This window comes from Homo sapiens, chromosome 9, assembly GCF_000001405.40.
Source record: "Homo sapiens chromosome 9, GRCh38.p14 Primary Assembly".
NCBI lineage: Eukaryota > Metazoa > Chordata > Mammalia > Primates > Hominidae > Homo > Homo sapiens.
The window spans coordinates 73151310-73175933 of record NC_000009.12 but is presented as its reverse complement, the minus strand read 5'-3'; the positions used below and the strand labels follow the sequence as shown (position 1 = coordinate 73175933).

Sequence of the window (24624 nt, the reverse complement as noted above, 5' to 3'; positions counted from 1 at the left end):
CTCTACTAAAAAATACAAAAATTAGCTGGGTGTGGTAGCACATGCCTGTAATCCCAGCTACTCGGGAGGCGGAAGCATGAGAATGGCTTGAACCTGGGAAGCAGAGGTTGCACAGCCTGGACAACAAGAGCGAAACTCCGTCTCAAAAAAAAAAAGTGGGGTGGGGGGAATTTTAACCTTCTTTGTCTTAGGAGAGACTCTCCTAAGTTGGGCCTCTAACCCAACATCATCCTTTACTGGGGTAAAATGTACCCCACCACTTTCTCAAAGTTGGTGCTGCAATCTATTTCCTTCAGGTCAGGGGTCTCTTCAGTATAGTCCCTTCATGGTCACCAGGAAGATGTTACCAGAAAAGGGTCCTGATCCAGACCCCAAGAGAGGGTTCTTGGATCTCACGCAAGAAAGAATCTGGGGCAAGTCCATAGAGTAAAGTGAAAGCAAGTTCATTAAGAAAGTAAAGAAATAAAGAATGGCTACTCCATAAGCAGAGCAGCCTTTTCTCCTAAATCTTGATAATAAATATATTTCTTTCTAATATTTGACATTTACAACTCTCAAGTATTTTTTTCTTTAAACCTAACCATTGAAGGGGAATATGATATCAAAAAAAGTAGAAAATATACAATTGCATTTCATGGCCTTGTTTATTAGATTTGCCAAAAAAAAAAAATCACTATATCTGTAAGCAAAAGACAATATTTCTATTTTTTACTTTTTGGGTAAAAATGTACTTATTATTATATATACTTCCTAGATTTTTATATATTTGAAAATATTATTACCATTGTGTTTAAGAGATTCCTCACTGATTGTACAGAGTTTCCACTACTCCATGACAAAACCAACTTATTTTATAATAGTATCTTGCAACAAGACCTGGCATCTGAAGCAGGTTCTCATTTAGTTTCATTTTTCCCTCATATCTATGGTCTTTCTTCTCATAATTTTCTTCCTGTAACTTTAGTGAAATGGATCCATAGTCAGAAAGCCTGTGTTCAAATTTGTGTTTATTCATTGACCTACTGTATGAACTTGGACAAGTCCAGAGAAATCTGGAAACTTTGATTTCTTCATTTGTAGAAAGCAGATAACACCTCCCTCCCAGGTTTATTTGAAAACAGAATAATATTTTTGTAAAAATGCATCTAATTATAGTTGTTAGGTCTTAATTCTCAATACAAAAGATAATTAATTCATTCAGGAATATGAAATGCCACTAGCCATTCAGGTTTTTGCTGTTTTGTAGCCTTTCCTGAATCCATTACTCTCTCTTGATTTACCAAAGCGCTTCCTATGTGCCTATATATTACCTTTAATACATTATACCATCATATTTTGCATAGCTTTTTTCTCCCTGGCTATATTATGAGCTTTACAATTAGATAGCTATTTTAATAGACTTTATTTTTATAGAGCAGTTTTAGGTTTACAGAAAAATTGCACGGAAATTAGAGTCTCCATACACCCTTTCTACCTCTCCCTTATTTTTCCCTTGATATATTATTAACCAATATCCATAGTTTACATAAGATTCACTCTTTGTATTATACAGTTCTACAGGTTCTTGGAAATGTGTAACTGCCATGTATCTACCATTATAGTATCATACAGAATAGTTTCATTGCCCTAAAACTGTTCTGTGCTCCACCTATTTATCCCTCCCCCCTTCAACCTAACCCCTGGAAATCATTGATCTTTTTACTGTCTCCATAAGTTTTGTCTTTTTCAATATTTTCAGTATTTATATAGTTGGAATCATGTAATATGTAGACTTTCAGACTGGCTTTTTTCACTCAGCAGTATGTGTTTAAGATTCTTCCATGTCTTTTGCTTGATAGCTCATTTCCTTTTATTATTAAATAGTATTCTACTGTTTGTTTATTCACTCACCTTTTGAAAGGCATCTTGGTTGCTTCTAAGTTTTGGAAATGACAAGTAACCCTGCTATAATCATTTGTGTGCAGGTTTCTTGCTTGTGGACATAAATTTTCAACTTGTTTGCATAAATACCTAGGAGCATGATTGCTGAATGATGTAAGACTGTGTTTAGCTTTGTTAAAAAAAAAAAAAAAAAAAAGGCCAAATTGTTTTCCAAAGCGGCTGTGCCATTTTGCATTCACACCAGGAATGAAAGAGAGTTTCTGTTGCTTGACATGGAATGGATTTTAGTTATTCTAATAGGAGTGTAGCGGTGTCTCATTGTTTTAATTTGCAATTCCCTAATGATATATGATGTTGAGCATATTTTCATATGCTTATTTACCATCTTTATATCTTCTTTAGTGAGGTACCTGTTCAGATCTTTCGCTTATTTTTTAAAATTTTTTAACTTCTTTTACTGTTCAGACTTTAGAGGTTTTTTTATATTTTTGTTTATCAGTTCTCTAACAGATATTTGTCTTGCAAAAATTTTCTCCAAGTCTGTAGTTTATCTTTTTAGTCTCATAATAGTGTATTTGCAAAGAAGAAGTTTTTAATTTTAGTGAAATTCACCTTACCATTTTTTCCATGGATTATGGAAAGCTATATATTTTTGTTTTCTAAAATTTTGCTTTTTACTACTACTTACTGAGGTGGCTCTCCTATTCATTTGTGTATCCACTTACCTGTCACCTTGTCTAGAATTTATTCAGGAGCCTTCCAAGTAGTTTTGATAAAGTAAGTAAGTTCAGCACTTTCGGAAGGTATGTCAGACAGGGCCCTAGAAGGAAATGGCTAGTATAACAAGCTGGACATTTGACGATTGTTTTAATTATGGGAATACTGAGGTGTACTTCCTTAGAGGTGTAGGCAAGTTAAGAGAACCCACATGAGATATTGCAGTATCTACGGAGCAGCAGCAGCAGGAATCCCAAGTCCAAAGGGCAAGGAGAGGAAATAGTTGAGAGCTAGAGCCTCAGACAAGGTGACACCTGATGGAAGTTGTGACTGTAGAAGAACACAAATGTTAATAAGTCTCTAGAATCAGGGAGGGAGCAGGAGTACCTCCGCCTCATCTCCCAGCTCCTGCCAGGTTCTTCCATAAGCTGAATTCAGGCAGAAATCAGAAGGCAAGAGAACCTGCATGATAAAGTCTTCAGAAGTCACATATCAGAGCAGAACAGAAAAGAGCAAATGTTGGGCAGGGAGGGAAAGGAAGGCAAAGAGAGAGTAAAGAGCTCAGGCAGTTTCTTTAAAATTAATTGGAAGTAGGAAGATGTGGGGATGCAATCTGAACAAGGTAGCTCTCTTACTGACTGGCAAAAATTTTGGCCAGGTGGCTCATGCCTGTAATCCCAGCACTTTGGGAGGCTGAGGCGGACAGATCACCTGAGGTCAGGAGTTCAAGACCAGCCTGATCAACATGGTGAAACCTCATCTCTACTAAAAATACAAAAACTAGCCAGGCGTGGTGGTGCTTGCCTGTAATCCCAGCTACCCTGGAGCTGGGGCAAGAGAATCAATTGAGCCTGGGAGGCGGAAGTTGCAGTGAGCTGAGATCACAGCATTGCACTCCAGCCTGGGTGACAAGAGCAAGACTCCATCTCAAAAACAAAAAACAAAAAACACCTGGCCCCAATTATTAGAATAGTGCTAACAAAAGTATCTTGATAACTTCATCCTGCCTTGATATAACAGCTCCAGGTTCCCTCTGATTTCCCACATAGGTACTTCTTCCAAATCAAGCATACAAAGGCGATATGGTATATAATAAAATCCAGAGGCCATAAGGGGCAGCATATCTGTCAACCCATTTGCCAATATGCTGTGCACCAAGTAATCGTGACTATAACACATGATACGCGGGACAGGTGTGTGTAGAAGAAAGTTAAGGTCAGCGATCAAGACAAGCTACAACCAGGTGAAGGAGGGTTAACTCTGAATGCAGCTCAGAGTGATCAGAATATCCCATGGCCAACCCAAGTCTTCTTTTTTTTTCTTTTCTTTTGAAATGGAGTCTTGCTCTGTTGCCTAGACTGGAGTGCAGTGGCGCGATCTCGGCTCACTGCAAGCTCTGCCTCCCACAACCCAAGTCTTTTGAGGGTGAATAAATTGTTACCACCTTTATCCAGCTCTACCTAGTGAGAAGGCGCTCACGGGAAAGTAACTCTTCCCATTGCCTTTTTGAAAAAAGAGCTCGTACCATGGCTGATGCTCTCCTTGAAATAAAGAGCTTAACTAAATTGATATCTATCATCTATTCATAGAGAATGAGAAATTGCAAGGTTTTATATTTTCATTAAATATAAATATCAAAAATTAAAGAAAGACCAACACAAATATGTCCAATTGTTTTTGACAAAAGTGCAAAAGCAAGTTAACAAAGGGCAGCCTTTTCAACCAACAACAAATGGTGCAGGTGCAATTGGACATTGATAACGATGCCAACAGAAAAAGAACCACAACCTAAGTCTCTCCTTTTATAAAAAATCAACTCAAAATGGATCACAAATTTACATGTAAAATGTAAAATCATAAAATTTTTAGCAAAAAACATGAACAATTCTTAAGGCCAAGGGTTAGATAAAGAGCTTGTAGACATGACATCAAAAGTACAACTATAAAAGAAAAATAAATAATAAATTGGATCTCATTAAAATTGAAAATTTTTACTTTGTAAAAGAACCTGCTAAGATGATGAAAAGACAAGCTATAGACTACCACAAAATATTTGCAAACCACATATCTGATGAACGACTAATATCTAGAATGTATGAAGAATTTTCAAGATTCAACAATAAATAAAAAATAAGCGGCTGGGCACGGTGGCTCATGCTTGTAATCCCAGCACTTTGAGAGGCCATGGCGGGTGGATCGCCTGAGGTCAGGAGTTAAGGCCAGCCTGGCCAACATGGCAAAACCCCATTTCTACTAAAAATACAAAAAAAAAAAAATTAGCTGGGTGTGGTGGTGGGTGCCTGTAATCCCAGCTACTCGGGAGGCTGAGGCAGGAGAATCACTTGAACCTGGGAGGTGGAGGTTGCAGTGAGCCGAGATCACGCCAATGCACTCCAGCCTGGGCAACAAAGCAAGGCTCTGTCTCAAAATAAATAAATAAATTAAATAAATAAATAAATAATAAGCAATGCTAAAAATACAAAATAGTGACAACTTCAAATGCTGGCAAGGATGTGGAGAAACTGAACCACTGTTAGATTTATGGTGGTAAAGTGGAATAGTATTACCACTCTGGAAAACAATTTGGCAGTTTCTTAGAAAAAGTAAACCTAAAATTACCATGAAACAAACATGAGAACTTTTTACAAGTATTGCCATTTCATCTTTATACTAGTTAATGAAATATAGAATATATCAAATTGTTATAATGCTAGTGCAATAAATTTATTATACAGAGACACAATCTCAATAGTCTGTACACATACGATAAAATGTAGTATCCCTTTTCAAAAGCTATAAGTATTTTCTTCAATTCAGAATGTGAACTCTATTTCATTAAATAATTATAATCTAGAATTCAGGCTTGTATCCCTTAATGTCAAATTAAACCACTGAATTACACAGAAAAGAAAATCAAAATAGAAGAGTCAATGACACACCAATTGTCTTGTGACGTCATTTTATTTTCAGCTACATAGACATCTTTCTCATGTATTGTTACTAGAACAACTTGTATAGGGTTTTATGGTTTGGGGAAAACATTTTTAAAAAATGGACTTATCTCTATTATACAGAGTTATAATATAAAAATGATTTAAAGGCTATATTTTTCAGCATGTAGGTAGCTACACTGTAATCCTGTTGAAGAAACTTTCCTATTTAAGCTTATAGGATGAAAATATATAATTAAAGTCTTCTGATCATAGCTTGAGACCATCAAGGGAATGTTTAGTTTCCTCCACAAAGAGCCACCAGGATTTTCTCATAATCTCCTTTGGTTTCATCCTGTTGATTCAAAAAAAGGTATACTTAATGTTAGTCGAAACCATAATTCTCTATTTTTTTTTACTTATAGAAGAATTATTTTTAGACTTAGCTGTAGATGAGATTACACATTACCATTCACTTAATTAAACAATATATACAACAGATAACTGATTTTTTATCATTGCATAAAAAAGCAATAGCCTTCAAGACTGAGATTACAAACTTTTCTGAATTAATTATGTTTTATATTAGTGCCATTATTTTCTATGAATGAAATATCACACAAAATTAAATAAGTATAACACAATATAATCTCATATCTTATGTGAGGAGATACCTGATTCACTCACCAGAAGAAGAGAAATGTATAGTGCCTGTAATTTTCTCACATTTTCTGGGTAGATTTTAGTTATCCAATATGACTAATTAATTAAATTTGAATCGTTATCTACCTTTCAGTAAGTCCAAAACCCTTGACTGTTCTTTGTCTTATTTTTTAACATTCTTATGAGACAATTTGAACATAAATTTTAAACATTTTACATGTGATAGAATTAAGATAAATATTTTGAATAAGGAGTTTCTAATCCTCTGACAAATATTAATGGCAAAATAAACCACAATGTCTATCTACCCTAGGGGGAACACTAGAATATTCTGCTTGCTGAATTTATGCATGGGAAACTAAATGTTTCCATGACTTTAGTTGAAAAATGTACCCAGTATTTCAGTAGAGAACTCACTAGTAGATTTTACCAGTGAAAGTTCAATTTACTCATGAAGTATACACCATAATATATTAAATTAATCTTACATATTAAATTTATAGATACAATAAGTCAACTCTTCTCCTTGAAGATCTTGCAAAAAGAACTTTCATTTGTTGGGATGGCATTAGAGGAATCAAAACATACCAGGATGGCTTGGCAAAGGGAGATACCATACATCTTCTGATAGAATGCTTTGATATCATTCATGTCAATTTCAGAACGGGAAACCATAATCCTGATCAATGCCTTATGGCGAGTTCCAACACCCTGGCCAAAATAAATGAGGGTAAGTGTCTCATATTCAGAAAATACTCTCATTAAAAACATGAATTTTAAAGTGAAGCCTTCTTACTCTTCCATATAATTTCTATAGAGAAACTAGCTATACACACACACACACACACACACACACACACACCTTACACGAATGGTAATGAAATGAAAATAAATAATCCTCTACATTAGCGGTAGGTATAGAGAGCTGTCACAACTTCCTAACTCATCTCTCACCATCCGGTCTCTACACTGTCCAATAATTACAAAAAAAGGGAACTTCTAAACTGCAAATCTAATAAACTAGTCTATCTATTTAAAACACTGTCAGTGATCTTCTGTTGCTCTTAGGATAGAATCTAATCAGGGCTTCCGATATCCTGCCTAATTCTTTTTCAAGGCTTACAATATCCTGCCTAATTCTACCATCTCTTCCAGTGTGCACCATCACTCTATACTTACTGTCTTGAGAAGGTTATGTTACCTTTTGCCTTCAAGCCTGTGTGTGGGTTACTTCTTCCTCTTGGACCACCCTTGCTTTATCCCCATCTCTTCCACTCTTGCCCTCATCTGGCTCATTTCTATTTAAACTTCAGGTGTTAATTTAGCTGACAGCAATGCTACCTGGATTTCCAAAGTCTGGAGTATATGTCCCACTTTTCTCTTCCATGGCACCAGGTATTCATCATTACCCAACGAAATATCACACTAGACTATGGCAGAAAGGGGGCAGCAACTATGCTAACCACTACAGAGCAGTACCTAGCATGTCTATCATTTCATATTATTCAAATTATTCATATATATTCAAAATATTCCTTCATATTATTCAAATAGTTAGATCTTTCTTTCTCTCTCTCTCTGAAAACCTCCTTATTTTGGAGCTGCAAAGAAAAAAGGAAGATAACTTCATAACTATTCATTTGTGGGCTCAAAATGTCAGAATAGAAGAGGTACCTTGTATAATACCATGCATGTCAGACAGTAAAGTTAAAGTGACATAGTTGATCTCAAATACATCATTCTACATCCTTAATCATAGAATGACATTTCAAAAGTTTCAACTATTAATCTGTGGCATAAAAGACAGAATAATAAAAACAACAAATCAGACTCATAAAGTGGGAGATTATAAAACTCACAACCTTAGAGGAAGTAGGCCACTAAAATTACACGTTAAAAAAGAAAGTACATCACCCTTCCCGTGGTGACACATGTTTTAAGCAAATCACAAGTGAGCCGTAAATCACTTACAGGCTCACTTTACAATCTCATCTGTAAAAAAAAGCACCGAATCTAACAGAAGTTTATTCTGAGAAGGTAGTGTATTACCTCTTTCATCAAATAGAACAATGATTCTCATTAATGGGAAGATATTAAATGTGAGATTTTCAAACAACATGAGGTTTTCTGTTCTTTCTACAAATAATTCTTCCTCTAAGCAGGACATATAAGTAGAATGGTACATACTTTCATGGCTTGATGAAGCTTCTCTGCAAAGAAAGCTGGTTTGCTTGTGGCGCACTTCACTGTTAGAGAAGAAAATTTTAGTTGATGTATTTACCATGAAAAAAATGAAATATCCATATGAAAGAAACAGGAAATATAGAATTTTGCCAACAGTGTTCTATCCCTCATCATCATTCTTCACCTCTCATCTCCCAATATAGGGCAGTTAACTTCTGAGAAGGTATTTGTGACTCTCTAGATGGTGGTTTTGAATATTCTTTTCCCTGACGATCAATTTTTTTATTACCTTAAATACATCTCAAGAGCAACTTCAGTAGTTTGCGCTATCCAACATATATTCTCCTTGGGAGTGGAGAAGCCACTAGGTGTTCAAGCCTATGTAAATACTTTATTTATGTTACTATAAGAACATTTAAAAAGAACACCCTATGAACAACAGACACTGCAGACTACTAGAGAGGGCAGGGAGAGAAGGGGCATTGGTCAAAAAACTACTTATTGGGTACTATGCTCACTGCCTGAGTGCAGAACACCCATGGAACAAACGTGCACATGTACCTCTGTGTCTAAAGTAAGAGTTGCACAAACAAATAAGTAAAAATAAATGAATAAATGAAGAAAAAACTCTGGGATAGGATGGGCTTAAATATAAAACAGAACCCAAATAATACTAGCACATTCCAGTTCATAGTGTTCTTCATCTTGTCGAGATCTATGGACCAACAGCATTGGCATCAATGGGGAGCTTGTTAGAAAAGCAGAATCTAAGCTCCACCCCAGACCTGGGGAATCAGAATCTGCATTTTAACAAGCTTTCCAGGGGATTCAAGTGCATAGTCATGAATGAGAAACACTGCTTGAGAACATAGGTTCCCCAACCCTGATGGTTGTCTGAATAACCTGGGAGATCTTTAAAAAGTACCGATTTTTAGAGGCCAACTCGGACCCACTGAATCAGACTCTCCTGGACCTGCCCAAGATTGTACAATTAACAAGCAGTAGACCAGGACTTGAAGTTACATTTATCCAGATGTTACATTTATTCCAGATCCCATGCTCTCAGTGACCATTCTGAATTGCCTCTGTGGTGTGCCCAGCCTGGTACATTGTTTGATATAAGTAGGTGCTCAATAAGTATAGTCTATCTCTCTCTATTTTTGAAAAGGGGAATAATATCTATTGTTATTAAGGTTATAGTACTTTGCCAATCTTTTACGTTGCTTCAATTGAAACAGATGCACTACTTCTGATTGTTTTTTGTTTTCTTTTATTGGTTTTGTTGCTGTTGTTCTTGTTAAGTATAGGATAGCTTTGAAAATACAATTTCTAGTTAGAAAACTCTTTCAACTGCTGGACTACATACCGATAGCTGTGAGGCATTTCTCAATGTCACCTTTCAACTCCAGGTCCAGAACTTTGTTCATGTCATGCTTACTGTACTTGGTGTATTTCTGAAACACTGAATATTAAATTCAAACTAAGATACATGCAAAACATCCTTTTCTTTAGAAAGCTTTAGCAAAATCAAGGCAACTGACTCAAAGAATTTTTTAGAATAACAACTTTGGCTACACCTTTTAAAGCAATATACCCAATTAATCATAACGTGAATACTTCATCCTCTCCTAGGAATGTAACTTACCTGGCCATTTTGGTATTCCTATATATTTTGGCGAAATGTTTGCAAATGTTGACAGTTATTAGAAACGGCATGTGATTGACAACTATAGCACTTCCTACAGCAGTTCTAAGAGCCACAGCAAATGGATCTTCCCTTATATAAAGACCTGTGCACTAAATTTCTCTTACATTTAACAGTAGAAATCAGTATACTATTATAAGATGGTGAACTTTGGTAATTGTCATAACTTTTCCATCGCCTTCACTTCCAAGAGGCCCAGAGCTAAATCTTGCACTCAAAGGCCAGGACTTTTTCTGAGTTTTGTCTTGTTGTTGTTTTTCCAAAGCACCTACATATTTCTTTCTTCATTTAGCTCTGAGGGTTTTTTGTTTTTTTTTTTTTGTTTTTCTTCATTCTAATTTCATTTGTTCTGTTATGCATGTCTTTTCCCACACATATTCCAAATCTTTTAGGGGAGTAAAAGCAGTGAAAATAACAAAATTATGTTCCACATGCCCAAGTCACAAAATGTATTAAATATGATAAAGTAGCGGCTGTACAAAATTGGACAAATTGACAAATAACAATGGGTCAGGAACACTGTATCTGTTTGATACAGGAGTGATATTGAAAAAGGGTTCTGTTTTTACTTTCTCTTATTTGTCATCAAAAAAGAAAATTGCATCTTCCATAAACAGATTCCAGAAAAAGAAATTTATTGTTACCTCTGCGAAGTTGTGGATAGCTTCTGGTGGTAAGGATGGTATTGAACACGTTTACGTCTGTCCCCTTTCTCCTTTCTCCTGCTTCATACAAGGCCTGTCAAGAAACACAAAAGTAAACACTTCACTATCTGCTGAAATGATATCTGCACAATAATGTTAGACCTTGTCAAAGATTATATAGGCAATCGCTTTGTGCCCAATACAATCAGAGTAGTCAACAATAAGATTGCAAGTTCTTTAAAGATAGGGACCTTATTTTGTTTGTCAAATATCTTCCACAGTTTCTCTCAAGGTGCCTTGTAAACACTAGAGTCTGAATATATGTTTGCAGAATAAATGTTTGCTGAACTAAATTGCTTTAAGATTATGCTCTATAGTAAGACAACTCCAAGGGGATCTCTAAAGATTTTTTACTCTGTGTTGTTCAAAGTAATTATCAGCAAATGTTACTTATAAATCAATAATTCAACCGTAACCTGGACCTTGCATTTTGATGTTAGAATTTCTGTATTCAAATTCTGACTCTGCAATTTCAAAGCTGCATAATCTTAGACAAATAGATCAACCTTACTAAATGACAGATTTTTTTCTTTTATATATGAAAAATATAATCCCTGCCCTATTGTCACAAGCGGTCTTTATTAACTTTGAAATGTTGACTACCATCATTCTCTTGGGTCACACTAATCCATGTAACCTCCATAAATATATATTAAGAACCCTGATAGTCTTAAAATGGAAAGCAAATTCAGAAATGTCAAAAGCAAATAAGAATTTTTTATTATGGGCAATTATTCAAATGCTAACTCTTGTTCCTTAATATGCTTGAACAATTTCTATTAAAATGATAAAACCTTCAATGTATGTAAAAATTATTTTGCATTTTTCAAGCAAATTGATCTGATATGTATGCATTTGTTGAACAAAAAGTTCATGAGTGCCTATTATGTACATGATAATGTACTGGTATAGCAGAAGTGGATGGGGGTGCACAAAGAAATCTCTATCCTTAGTGAAGCACTGTAATGAATTCTCTAGAGAATACTGTTCCATGAGAAGGCATAATGCAAATATTAGTTGTTTGTTTGTTTTAAATGGAAATTCCAGGCTTTAAAATGATATGATTTTTCTTATGTTGCCAGTGGTTTGGCATATAAATAATCAGCAATGTCACTGAAACTAAATAAAACAATATGTTAGAAAGCATATATTATTATAATTTATCCTATACTCTTGTTATATCATTGCAGTAATATTTTGACAATATAAATTGACATCTATAAACCATTCCAAAGTTCTCTGTTAAAAATAACGTTAAATATGCTTACTCTTTCCATTGCACATAATAAAAAAATTACATTTCCCCTTCTTATACCTAGTACAACGAAAGGTCAGAGTTTTTTTTAACAAACAATTCTTGGGAATGACAAATCAAATTTGTATTGTCCTTCTTCAGTTCTCTCTGGTTTTACGAATAATGAGAGATATTGAAAACTTACAAAGACTACTTTTTTGTGTGTGGGGGCTACAGAAAGACATGCCTCATTCAGGAAATGAACATTAAGAAGCCATTGGTCTCTCAGAAGATCTTAGATTTGCTTTCACAGGGGATCATGTGGTAGCCCCACTTAAGGTAGGAAGATGAACTGCAGCAGTATTTTGTAAGCACTTCCTTACCCTGGCATCTGAATCAGCCAAGTCTTCATTCACACCAAAGTCCTCAGATCGGTCACCCTGAAAGAAATCCCATTCTATTGTAAGCTCTTCTCTAGCATGTAATTGCATGATTTACTTAATTATCTTAAACTCAGATAAATAATATTTTTTGAGAAAAAGGTATTCTATTACTCATTTCTAGAAGGAGCTCAGATACAAGATTTTACTTGCGATGGTTTTAGATGTTCTTCCCCTCCAAACCTCATGTTGAAATTTGATCCCCAGTGTTAAAGGTGGGGCCTAGAGGGAGGTATTTGGGTCCTGGGGCTGATCTCTCATGAAGAGATTAATGCCGTCACTGGGAATGAGTTCTTGCTCATGAGAACCACGAGAGCTGGTTGTTAACGAGGCTGGCACCTCCCCATTCTCTCTCTTGCTTCCTTTCTTGCCATGTGGTCTCTGCACACACCAGCTCCCTTTCCTCTTCTGTCAGGAGTGGAAGCAGCCTGAGGCTCTCACCAGACATAGATACCCAAACTTGAATTTGTTAGCCATCAGAATCCTGAGCCAAATAAACCTTTTTATCTTTAAAAATTACCTAGCCTCAGATATTCCCTTATAGCAACACAAAATGGACTAAGAAATTAGTCTTTATAAAACAAGAGGCATTTCCTAAAGTATCTGAGTTGTACCTTAGCAAGAGAAAGCAAAGCGTTCCGAAAATCTCCAGATGTGTCTGAGGTTATGTCTTTGGCCAGATCTCTCTTCAGTTCTGAGAAAAAAGAAAAATAGATTTTATAGTAAACCAGTGATGAATAATAATAAGAATATCTGACATCTCTAAGTTGGTTGAAAATTCACAGTGCCACAGTGTTCAATGACTTATGGAACATGTTGCAAAATATTATCATTTTTAAATAAGAAGAGAAAAATTAAAGCAGGTAAATTTTTGGATCATTGAATTTATTTCATATGAAGCAATGGGAGCAATTTAGATAATACTGTGATTGAAAACTCACAGTCATAAAGCTTTCGTTAAGAATAAATTGTATAGGTATACATTAGTAATTAATTCTGAAATACAACATGGCAGAATTTAAGCAATAGAATGAATAAAATAATTGTTTAAAAGAACAAAATGAGGTACTTGCTTGAATGCAAATTATTTATTTAGTTTAAAAACTATAAATGTCTTATAAGTAATGCAGTTTGATGATTTATGTGTGTGTAAACACTTCTGCTTAACTACATAAAATAATACTGTAATAGGAAAAAATAATTGAATTTATAATTGACTAGTGCTATGGTTTTCATATTGTTTGTTTGGCCCTGCCAAGTCTCATGTTGCAATTTATTCTCCACTGTTGAAGGTGGGGCCTGTTGGGAGATGTTTGGATGATGGGGGCAGATCCCTCATGAATGGCTCGGAGTGAGTTCTCATTCATAGTTTCTTTAAGAACTGGCTGTTGAAAAGAGCCTGGCACCTCCTTTTCTCTCTCTCCCTCTCTGCACACATCTGCTTCTGTCTGCTTTCTGCCATGAGTAGAAGTAGTATGAGGCCCTCATCAAAAGCAGACGCTGGTCCCATACTACTTGTACAGTATTTCCTTTCTTTTTACATTACTTGGTCTCAGATATTTCTTTATAGCAACACAAACGGACTAAAACAACTTGAAACTGGGCAATGTAATAAACTATCACTGGCCTATATCTTGGCCATATGAAAAATATATAAACACTTATTTTTATAAACTATGTTTTATCAAACAAAAATAATCATCATTATTACCACTGACACATGGATCTAACATAAACATTGGTAATTAAATAAGAATTGCAGAAAATGAGGTTTAAAAGCTTCCTTATTTTTATTCTTTTATTAAATTCCTCTGAAAATGATATGCAAAAGCTATTGTATTCTCCATGCTTGGTATGAGAATCAAGCAGAAAGATCTTCTATATGCCATATATTGCATTGGGAAAGCCAAAAAGCCAGCAGCTCAGGGAAATGAGAGTAGGAAAATGGTAAGAGACTTGCAATTACCCTCTTTTCAGTGTTGAGCACATCATTTAAATGAGATGCTTCACTGGAGAGATAAAATAAGCTAAGACTAGTCTTTTATTCTGTGAATTTAACTAGAGATAAAGTGAGTCTCTTATGTTCATAACGATAAAGTTAAGGTTTCCAACAGAGAATTATAAGCACCTAATTCTTTACTTTTTCAAGGACAAATGAAAAACATTTTGTTAGGAGATTTTTTTGTTATTATATATTCTTTTCAAAAAAAATGACCTTGGGACATTTTTATAAAATACATTCCAGAATAATAGAAAAGTGTTTTTCAGAAATTTTTAAAAATTCAATGCTCTGAATTGAGGTTTCCATTATAATCGTATGTGGCCATTTATCCTAGAGGAACATTTTCTATTAAAACGCAAGCTTGATGCGGATTGGGACACCATCTCCCTTGTCAGCAACCTAGCAACTCAAGCGTTGCCTGGTAACAGCATTTAATAGACATGTGCCAAACAATAAAGAAACATTTTGATATGTGGAGATTCCAAAGCTGCCATAATTACCATAGACAGTCAATTTTAAGAAAGTATATTAGATTTCCTTTTCAAATAAGGCGTTTGGACTGTTGGACATTACAACTTACCCTCTCTGTAGACCCTGTTAATGTCTCTGATTTCTTTGTTAGTTCTTGATGCCAAAATCTCAATTAGAGTATCTTCATCAGTTCCAAGGCCCTAAATTTGAAGAGAAGAAAAGGATAAATGTAGAAAAAAATCTTCATGCAAGAGGATCAATGAGTTTTTGGTGTTCCAAAATTTGTTTGACTCTGTCATTTAGTAAATTTCACCCACAACATTTAATAATTACAATAAGCTCTATTACATTGCCCTAAAACAAAACAAGTTTATCATCAATATTTTGGGTAAAAATAAAAATGCAAATATATGACTCATATAGTGACATGACATGGAAGGTGTTAGTGCCAACATTTCTGTTTTCATTTATATATTAATTCCTTCATTGAGGTATTAATTTATTTATTCTTCAAACTCCCACTGATTGACAGGTACTATACTAGATTTTGAAAATAACATAAGCATAAGTGACTTGCCCAATACATCCTCTTGAGGAAAGGAGTTTGCTCAAATTGGGCGATTTACCTTCATGGCAGCACGAAGTTCATCAGCATCAAATTGCGCTGGAGTTTTTAGCAGAGCTAAAACAACCTCCTCAAGGTGACCTGTAAGGGCTTTCTTCAGTGTTTCATCCAGGGGCTACAAAAAAAAAGATTAGAATCAGGACTTCCAATAAGTAACATGCTAGGTTAAAAAATGTGATATTACCTGACTTTAGGTCATCGTACAACTCATCCCTAAACCCAACCATCTTTTAGAGCTTCTTCCCTTCACATACAAAGTGTACCAAATATTTTGAAACATTATCTTACCCTTCCAGATCTAGAGGGATTAAAATAAAATTTACTGAATTCATCAATAACTTCTTAAAGCATAGGGTTAGTAATCTTATACACAGGGGAGAAATCACAAAGATCAAAACACAGAGGACTGTGTGCTAACAGAAAACAGAAGTAAAATTACTTTTAAAATAATATATTCATGTTTCCAATCTTTGAGGTTTGTACTTCTCAAATAACAAGCAGTATAATCAGATACTGAAATTATATAGTTTTCTAATTTCATTGCTTTAGAAAACTACTCATATTTGGTATAAAAGACATAAGGCTTATTTTTAAAGTAGAATTATATATAAAATTTAGGCATTAAACAGTTCAGTTTAAATATTAGTACATTTCAATCAGACCATATTCTTTATTGACAGCAGCAATCTCGATGTTTACGTTCAAATTAAAAATTTGTCCCCAGAGCACCACATCTGCAAACAATATACACCAAGATGACTAATGTATAAAAATAGGAAATTTGATAAAATTGATTAAATTGCAACAAAGTGGATAAACACTGCAATCCCAATCATAGATGTAATGAGAAAACAGTGGTTAGAACCTTAAAGAACTAGGTAACTGTGCTTCCGAATCCATGGTTAAGTATAACTATGCTGAAATTAAATATCTAAATTTACCACTCTAACTTACCTTTCCTGTTTCCTGGAGATATGCTGCTTTGATCTGTTGACGCTGTGCATTGTTTCGCTTAGTTAGAATGTCAATGATGGTTGCTTCATCCACACCTGGAAATAAAGGGCCAACAGCCTTTAACACCAATTTTCTTCATCATCAATTGACATAAAATAATTCATTACTGAGATGCTCCAAAAGAACTTCTTAACAAATTAAGAAATATAAATTATATATCAGCCTAAAAAATCGATGCTATACTACATATCAAGGAAGCACTTGGGAGAATGACATTTCATTCGAGTGAGAAAGGAAGAGACAATTAACTTTTCCTGGCCCTCAGTGTTGCAGTGTTTGATACTAGTTGCAACTCTATATGTGAACAGAGCTTTTAATTTCAGCATGGAATTTCTGCTAGAAATGAGCCAGTAATATCTGCTGTAACAATAGAGATTCCACTGATGTGAACACAATTTCCTCAGTGTTAAGTAAATAATTACATCTTCGTTTGGCAAAGAAATGTTTTTATCTTCAAAATGAAACAGATTCTTTCCATTGCACATGTCTGTTTTTTGACAGTCATTCAAATAGCCATTCTGAAATGTCCAGGAGGGAACTGTTTTGAGGAAACACGTTACCTTTAACCATTATGGCCTTATGCAAGGCAGCGACATCCGAGGATGGATTGAAGGTAGGATAGGGGCTCACCGCTGATCCGGGACCACCTTTGGATGACTTCACAGTTTGCTAAGAATGAGAGAGAAATAAATTAATGGCCATTTACTTATATTCGTTTTTATTTCAATATTGTAATCATAATTTTATTATCACTCTACTTACAACATATTCCTGCTCTTCATTTTCAATAAACCAGGCCTGCTTGAGGAATTCTGATACCATTGCCATTTTTGAAAAAGTGTCTGGAAAGAAAACAGTTAGATGCTTTTACAAAACAAATGCACCACACACAACCTCTCCTTCCTCACCTCTTACATACATAAGAGTTAGCATTAGAGAGTAGCCTTGCGCTTACTTTCCAGGATCAATTACACTTAGGAGCATAACAAAATGTAAGACGTAATTTTTTTTAAAGGAAGCTTTTATACTTAAAATGAAACCATACCCTCCTCTCTGAAATTGAACTCTTTCTTGGCATATTCAGTTCTAAATTTTAGAGATCAGACAACTACTACAAGTAAGCACACAGGCTGAAGAGAGGAGTTTGTGGTTCACTACATTGTTCTAAATTTGTAGACCACCCACCATATGCCAAGCACTAAGAGTACAAAAACATTGAAATATCATCTTAAGTACCCTCAGGACTTAAAGCTAGTGTGTGCTCTCCATAGGAAAACATAAGGGCTAAAGAAACTTCTTAGAGTAGGCCCTGGCTGACCCAAGCCTCTCTTGAAATGAGTCAAGATTAACCTGGCAGAAAAGTTAAAGAAGAAGCTTGTCATATTTGGGAAGCAGAAGAAAGTTTGCTGGAGCGAGAAATGTTGGCAGAAGCTGAAACAAGAAGCTTCAATGTGTCCACAAAGCTTTGGGAAAACATTAATGGGTTTCTTTTTGTTTGTTTGTTTTTTTAAAGCAGCATGGTTTCATTTATGTTTCCGAAAGACCATTCATCCTTTATCATGGAGAATGGCTAAGAGATAGACAAGATGGAGGATTAGAATACTATTTAGTAGACCATTAGACCATCTATGTGGAATTAATGAGAGCCTGTACAAAAGTAATGGCTAGATGAAAAGCTTAATGATTGCTTTTTTTTTTTTTTTTTTTTTTGAGATGGAGTCTTTCTCTGTCGCCCAGGCTGGAGTGCAGTGGTGAAATCTCGACTCACTGCAACCTCCGTCTCCTGGGTTCAAGCAATTCTCCTGCCTCAGCCTCCTGAGTAGCTGGGATTACAGGCACCAGCCACCACGCCCGGCTAATTTTTGTATTTTTAGTAGAGACAGGTTTTCACCATGTTGGCTAGGCTGATTTTGAACTCATGACCCCAAGTGATCTGCCCGCCTCGGCCTCCCAAAGTGCTGGAATTACAGGTGTGAGCTACCACTCCCAGCCAATGATTACATTTATAAGGTAAAATAACTTGTGCCAATCTGTACAAGTGAATTCAGATTTAAAATTTTAATTGTAAAAAGATATCCAGGTGATATTTCTCCCTGAATAATTTAGTTTCCTTTTCTATTTCTTGATATAAAAGTACTCAGCATTGAAGTAATTGCTATCTTCACATTTCTTCCTATTTGAGCTGTCTAAATAGTAGTCCTACATATTTTCCCACCCAACACAAAAAACCCAGAAAAGAATTATTTTATACTGGATTTTTTTGTTGTAGCAGGAAGCCTAGAGGTGCAATTGTAACATGCATGTTCTTTTGGCAAACTCTATCTTAAAGGAAATTTCTTGAATTGCTATCATGACTTGGCAATATTTTTATTTAATGAGACATATATTTTTAAGATCTTAAGTATATTGAAAATTAATGTGTTCTCTGTTTTGGCCACACACACACAAAATGCCATCACAGATCCTTTTAGTCTGGGGATGTTTTTCAGAGGCCTTGCTCAAGGTCTACACTGATCTGTCTATCTACACCATTCTGTTTCACCCCTCTAGAGACTACTCTCATGAATGTTTGTGAGAGAGGTTGGGAGGACAATCTTGGCAGTTTTAAATTCTTGATATGAAGATAAATGACTCATGAGGCATAAACTGATTCCATAAACTGATTCCTCAACAGCATGTTCAGACAAACTCTTTCCATTTTCACCTGCTAAAAAGTAACTGGAGTTGCAAGTAATAACACTGAATGCATGAAGAAAATAATATCCAAAGCAGAAATCATCCCCACTTAATTCGCATGGGATTGCTCTTATTACTATTCTGTCATCTGTGAGAAGAACCAATACTTTTTCCATTCATTTAAAGCAGCCTGTTTCCTAAATATAATTGATAGACTTAAAATTGCTTCCTGATAAAGTAACAACCCGCAATTTTGCACAAGGTTTTAGTTCCCATTACAGTCTAGTTTCATGCAATTGCGGTTGCCACATGGAGTTTCATATTCCACCTTCTTAATTGGCACACCCAATACTTTAAAAGCAATTCTAGCAGCTTCAGGCACTCAAAATTTCCATTTTCATCATTTCATCCAAGGCTTTGATAAGGAAGAATCATCAAAATGAGTGTTAAAATTCATCACTTGGCAAAGTACTACTCCATCACTTATAAAAACATGTTTTTATTATTTATTTATTTTATTTATTTATTTATTTATTTATATTATTTATTATTATTATTTATTTATTATTATTATTATTATTATTCCATTCTTTTCAATTAGCAAATAAAAACTTCAAAAGAAAGCAAAAGAAAGACTAAAGATATTGTCCAGTCTAATATTAAAGGTGTCTCTGACAACTTCAAAATAAACGTTATAAAAACTTTACTGTACTGTTTTTTTTTTACTTCTAAAAAATACTTGAATAATGTCCATTTAAAAAAAAAGCCAGAGAAAGCCCAGGAAAAGGTATATTAATTACATAACACAAGATAACAAAAATAAGTTGTTTAAGTCACTTATTTGAAAGAGAGAGCATCCCTAGAGGAGACAGCTTTGTGATTTGTATCTTCTAAGTTCCTACATTCTAGCCTGAAGTATTTGGATAGACTAAAAGCATAATCTAGGAAAGAAAAGCAACCAATAGAGAATTTTCTTCAAGAAATCAATTAGAGAAAAACGGAATCTGAATTCAGCCAAATTCACCACCAGCTCTTAGCAAAGATTAAAGACAGGAGCATCAAGGCAGGATATAAGAAATTGCTCTAAAGGAAACAGATTTTATCACATACAGCTGGTTAAGGGCTCAAAGCCAACTGCACGTATTAACTGAACTTCTGAATAATTATAATACAACTAACAAATACCAAATATATATTTTTTTATATATTGGCCAAATTCTATCCTTAAGCCGTTCTGACTCTTCAATACCTACACTCTGCATGAAAACCTGCCTAAGCCAATGAGTTCATGAAAGGTTTTCTTTTTTCTATCTTTTTGTTTGTAGTGTATAAAGCTTGCAATAGATTTTAAAGAGCCTGTTCTATCAACTTATAGATTTCAACTAACTCAATACAGATTTCAACTAACCAAAGATAAGCTCTAAAACTAAGTTTATTTCAGTACTTAGCATGAGCTCATTGACGGTGAAATTGGCCATTTATACATAGGCAAATCTATAAGGAAATTAACAATATTTCACATTTCTTCTAATTAATGGTCTTTTTGTGAACATGCACTGCCTACTAATGTCAGCTTATCTATGATTTGAATGTATAGCTTTCTAAAGCGTAGCAATTTTTTTGCATATTTATGTGTCCTAAGAGAGTCCCCCCGCTTCATTTTTCCATCTCTCAGCCTCATGAAAGGCTACCTCTATCTAGAATTTGTGACAGAGGAAGCTGAGTTTTGTGGTTGATTGTATCTTCCTGGTTACAATCTAGAACTATCAGAGTTTTGCAATGATAGTAACAGCAATGACTAACCCTTGCTTGGAATAATAGCCTTTAATCATTATCCTCAGTTTCTATCTGGGAAAACTGAGTGCTATTTTCAAGCAGTCTTCCTGCTAGTAGTGGCAAGAATGGAGACATAAATCCATCCCTTTTGATTCCAAAGTGTTATATATTTTGGCTGTGCATGGTGGCTCACACCTGCAATCCCAGCAATTTAGGAGGCCAAGGTGGGCAGATTACTTGAGGCCAGGAGTTCAAGACCAGCCTGGCCAGCATGGCGAAACCCCGTCTCTACCAAAAGTACAAAAATCAGCCAGGCATGGTGGTGTGCACCTGTAGTCCCATCTACTCAGAAGGCTGAGGCAGGAGAATCACTTGAACCCAGGAAGAGGCGGAGGCTGCAGTGAGCCGAGATTGTACCACTACACTCCATCCTGGGCGACATAACAAGACTCTGTCGGGAAGAAAGAAAGAAAAAGAAAAGAAAAGAAAAAAGAAAAGAAAGAGAAGGGAGGGAGGGAATTAGTGACCAAAAAGAAAATGACATGATCAGTGTTCTTTTAATCACTCACACCTGAGAATCAAATTCATTAACAGTCAACTTGCGCAGACCGTAGCAGGTTTCACCCCAGCCTTAGGGAGTTTATTTTTAAATGCACGGCCTTGTGCATAGTTTTTCCTCGAATATGTATTTCACAAGTCCTTCCCACACCTTCCCTGGTGAGAGAAAGCAATTAAGACTACACAATGGCATGACTTACAGAAAGCAATTTATGAAAGGTAGCCTCACTAATGTTTTGCTTCCAGGCTTTTCGATAGGGTGTTCTTCTTGCCTGGAATGCTTGTTCCTCCTCCACATTCACTTCCCTTTGCCTAACTAATTGCTACTTCTAAGTGACTCATCAGCATTGATCTCATCACGTTCTTCAGAAACCCTTCATTAGTTCCTCAGCACTGGATTCGGTGACCTTCCATGCTCTCCCAAAGCATCCTGACTTCACCCCTACACCAGCCCCACCTTTCTGTATTATCACTTTCCATTGGCTTGTTTATATTCCCCAGGAGCAGGCCATGAGGCCCGTGCTAACATACAAATAATAATATTCATTATGTATGTACTTCCAATCCCTAGCAAAATGCCTGGAATTTAGGATGTTAATAAGTATTATTGAATGAATATCATGTATCATTGCTAATATTTTAAAAAACATATCTACACTAATTTAATGAACATTTTCTACCCACAACTATAGGATATAAAATACAAATTGAAGTATACTGGTTCTTGATTATCTGGCGATCTGACCTCAAGAAAAACATTTAGCTTCTCCAGAGGGTCTTCGTTTATAAAATAAGAATGTTGAAGTAATTATCATCTAAGATCCATTTACAGCTCTGAAGTGCCAATCTTAAATATTACTTCAAGTAGATGAAGATGAAGAAAATTAGCATAATGAAGGAAGGCATTATATAAATTGGATTGTTCTGAGCTTCCTGATGAAATTCTGTCCAATTTTAAAGGAAAAGGAAATAGTTGACTTCAAAAAACTGTTTATAGTTTATCATTGAAAAATAATAGGTCTGCTGGTTTACCTCTGATTTGAAATGTCGTAAATTAATAGGTCTAGAGAGAGCTAACGTCATATTCAGAAATCAACCTTTGCAGACCTTCTGGTTGAAAAAGTATTTAATAAGCATGAAACTCTGGCTGGTTCCTTAATAATATTATTATTAACTATTTTGTCAACATCTGTTAAATGTTGGCTATGTGCTGGATGTGGTTGAGCCTGGAGCTAGGGTGTTACTGTCACTTTTGGGGAAGAGGCCATTTCAGAATTATGAAACCAACATTTTACCACATTTGAGTCATTTGCAATGTGCATTCTCTTACAGCTACCAAAATACTCCTGTGGAAAGAGGGCAACATTGCTTTCTCAAAGTTTTTACAATCTTTTAGATATAACCAAGGCAAGAAAAATTCCATCCTTGTTAATTAGCTAGCAGTGAACATAAGAAATCAGAACATTTAATAAATATTTAAAATGAACGAACAGAAAAATTCTTGAAGGAACATGTTTAAGAAAAAAATAGCCAGATACATGATTTGTAATCTCACTTTTACAAATATATCCAACACTAGTAAATACTCTTCTTTAGTTTTGCTTTGTGCTTTTCTAAGGAGTTTTATGGCCATTAGCTCATGCAACAATCAAGTGGAATAGCTGTTGGAGGGCCTCACTGACATTCCCCTAGGATAATGTATCTGACACTACCCAGAAAGTATTTCCCTTCTTTTTAGGTTTTCCAGCCAGCACTTGAAAAGACTGTATATGACACAGAGCCTACAAGAAAAGGAATGTGGCCACACCCTCTTTAAATGAAAAAAGTAATAAGCGGACCTTCTTATTTTAAATAGCATAAGCAAATATAACATATATTTTTAAATGTTTATTACAAAGAGCATGATTAGCACTTTGAGGTCTGAATCTATCTTGTTTTCCTTACAAAAGAAGAAAATAAATTATGAAAGTCCTACTATTTTGAAACAGTTCCCTGCAGCCCACTCCTATCACTTTTGTTCTTGCCCCCAAAAAGCAGCCCCCATCACGATTTCTCTGTAAAACACACAGCTCTTGGGAAGAAATATTTCAAGGGGAAGGAAAGGAAAAACACATTCTTTTAAGGCTACCAGAGGGAAAGCACATTCTTCCCTTCTTTCTCATGGTAACTTACCAAGAGTACAATGAGCCAGTATTAAGCAAACTTATCTTATTTTTACTTGTATTTGTTAACTAAGTAGAACAAAAATATTGTAATTTGTGATTCCTAAAATATAAATATCCAATGTAATTCTACAGAAAGATTTATGAATGACTTATCATGTTAAATGCAACTAACCATAAATCCTGTAGAAGCAGTAACATTTAACATAGTGATGAGAAAAGTTTTCAAAACAACCAAAACTAACTAAAAGGAAAACCAAGACTTACCTTTATCTCTACCTTCTTGCAAAGAACTAAAGAGAAATTCTTCTCTGAAGATTTCACACTGGCAGTGGAGACTTGGGCTTCTGATTTTATAGGATTTTAAAGGAAGCCACACCTAGCAACCAGAAGTTAGTAATTGGCTGCCTTCTGTTTGAAGTACATGGCTCAGCTATGTCCAAAAACAAAGTGAAACAAGTCTTGCAAAACTACTCACTAAACCAATTCAACTGGCATTACAAAGGAAAAGAAATGGAAGGGCTGATTTTTCCTCCCTCTTTATTTTGCACTTTTATTTCCAGATGGGATATTTATTTTGCACTTTTATTTTCAGAGTATACATCTGCCCCAATCCTAATACCAGTGATTGGCACACTTTTGTAGTTAAATAGGTTGTAGACTAAAAAGTATGTTACCTTCAAAACTAAACAAACCAACAAACAAAATATTACATTTGAATTCCACCTCCATCACTTATTATTCTGTGACTTTAGGGACATACTTAATTTTTCTGAACCTGTTTTTACTTTTGTTTTGTTGTCTTTTTCCCCCGCTTTTTGTGGAGAATGGGGTCTCGTTATATTGCCCAGGCAGGTCTCAAACTCCTGGGCTCAGGCTATC

At 35.2% G+C, this 24624-nt stretch overlaps 1 protein-coding gene across 2 annotated transcripts, besides 1 other annotated feature; it reads right to left on the bottom strand.

Annotated features, from left to right (window-relative positions):
- Window positions 1–5540: 5540 nt before the first annotated feature.
- On the bottom strand, window positions 5541–24069 carry ANXA1 (annexin A1). 2 transcript variants are annotated; one of them, XM_017014657.2, is made up of 13 exons: window positions 21592–24069; window positions 17333–17412; window positions 17131–17239; window positions 16511–16605; window positions 15558–15671; window positions 15041–15131; window positions 13073–13152; window positions 12402–12458; window positions 10725–10818; window positions 9742–9837; window positions 8379–8437; window positions 6780–6902; window positions 5541–5883 (listed from the first exon to the last, which is right to left on the bottom strand). In XM_017014657.2, exons 1-13 carry the CDS (start codon window positions 21608–21610, stop codon window positions 5827–5829), a joined length of 1074 nt encoding a protein of 357 aa, XP_016870146.1. In that variant the 5' UTR covers window positions 21611–24069; the 3' UTR covers window positions 5541–5826. The 2 variants fall into 2 exon arrangements, with proteins under 2 accessions (XP_016870146.1, NP_000691.1); NM_000700.3 differs by having other exon boundaries at window positions 24010–24069.
- Window positions 21787–22081: a silencer, noted in NCBI's record as "tiled region #9166; HepG2 Repressive non-DNase unmatched - State 24:Quies, and K562 Repressive DNase unmatched - State 1:Tss". NCBI's record gives its function as "represses a minimal TATA promoter and a strong SV40 promoter by Sharpr-MPRA in HepG2 and K562 cells {active_cell/tissue: HepG2 | K562}" and the evidence as "EXISTENCE:reporter gene assay evidence [ECO:0000049][PMID:27701403]".
- Window positions 24070–24624: the final 555 nt, after the last annotated feature.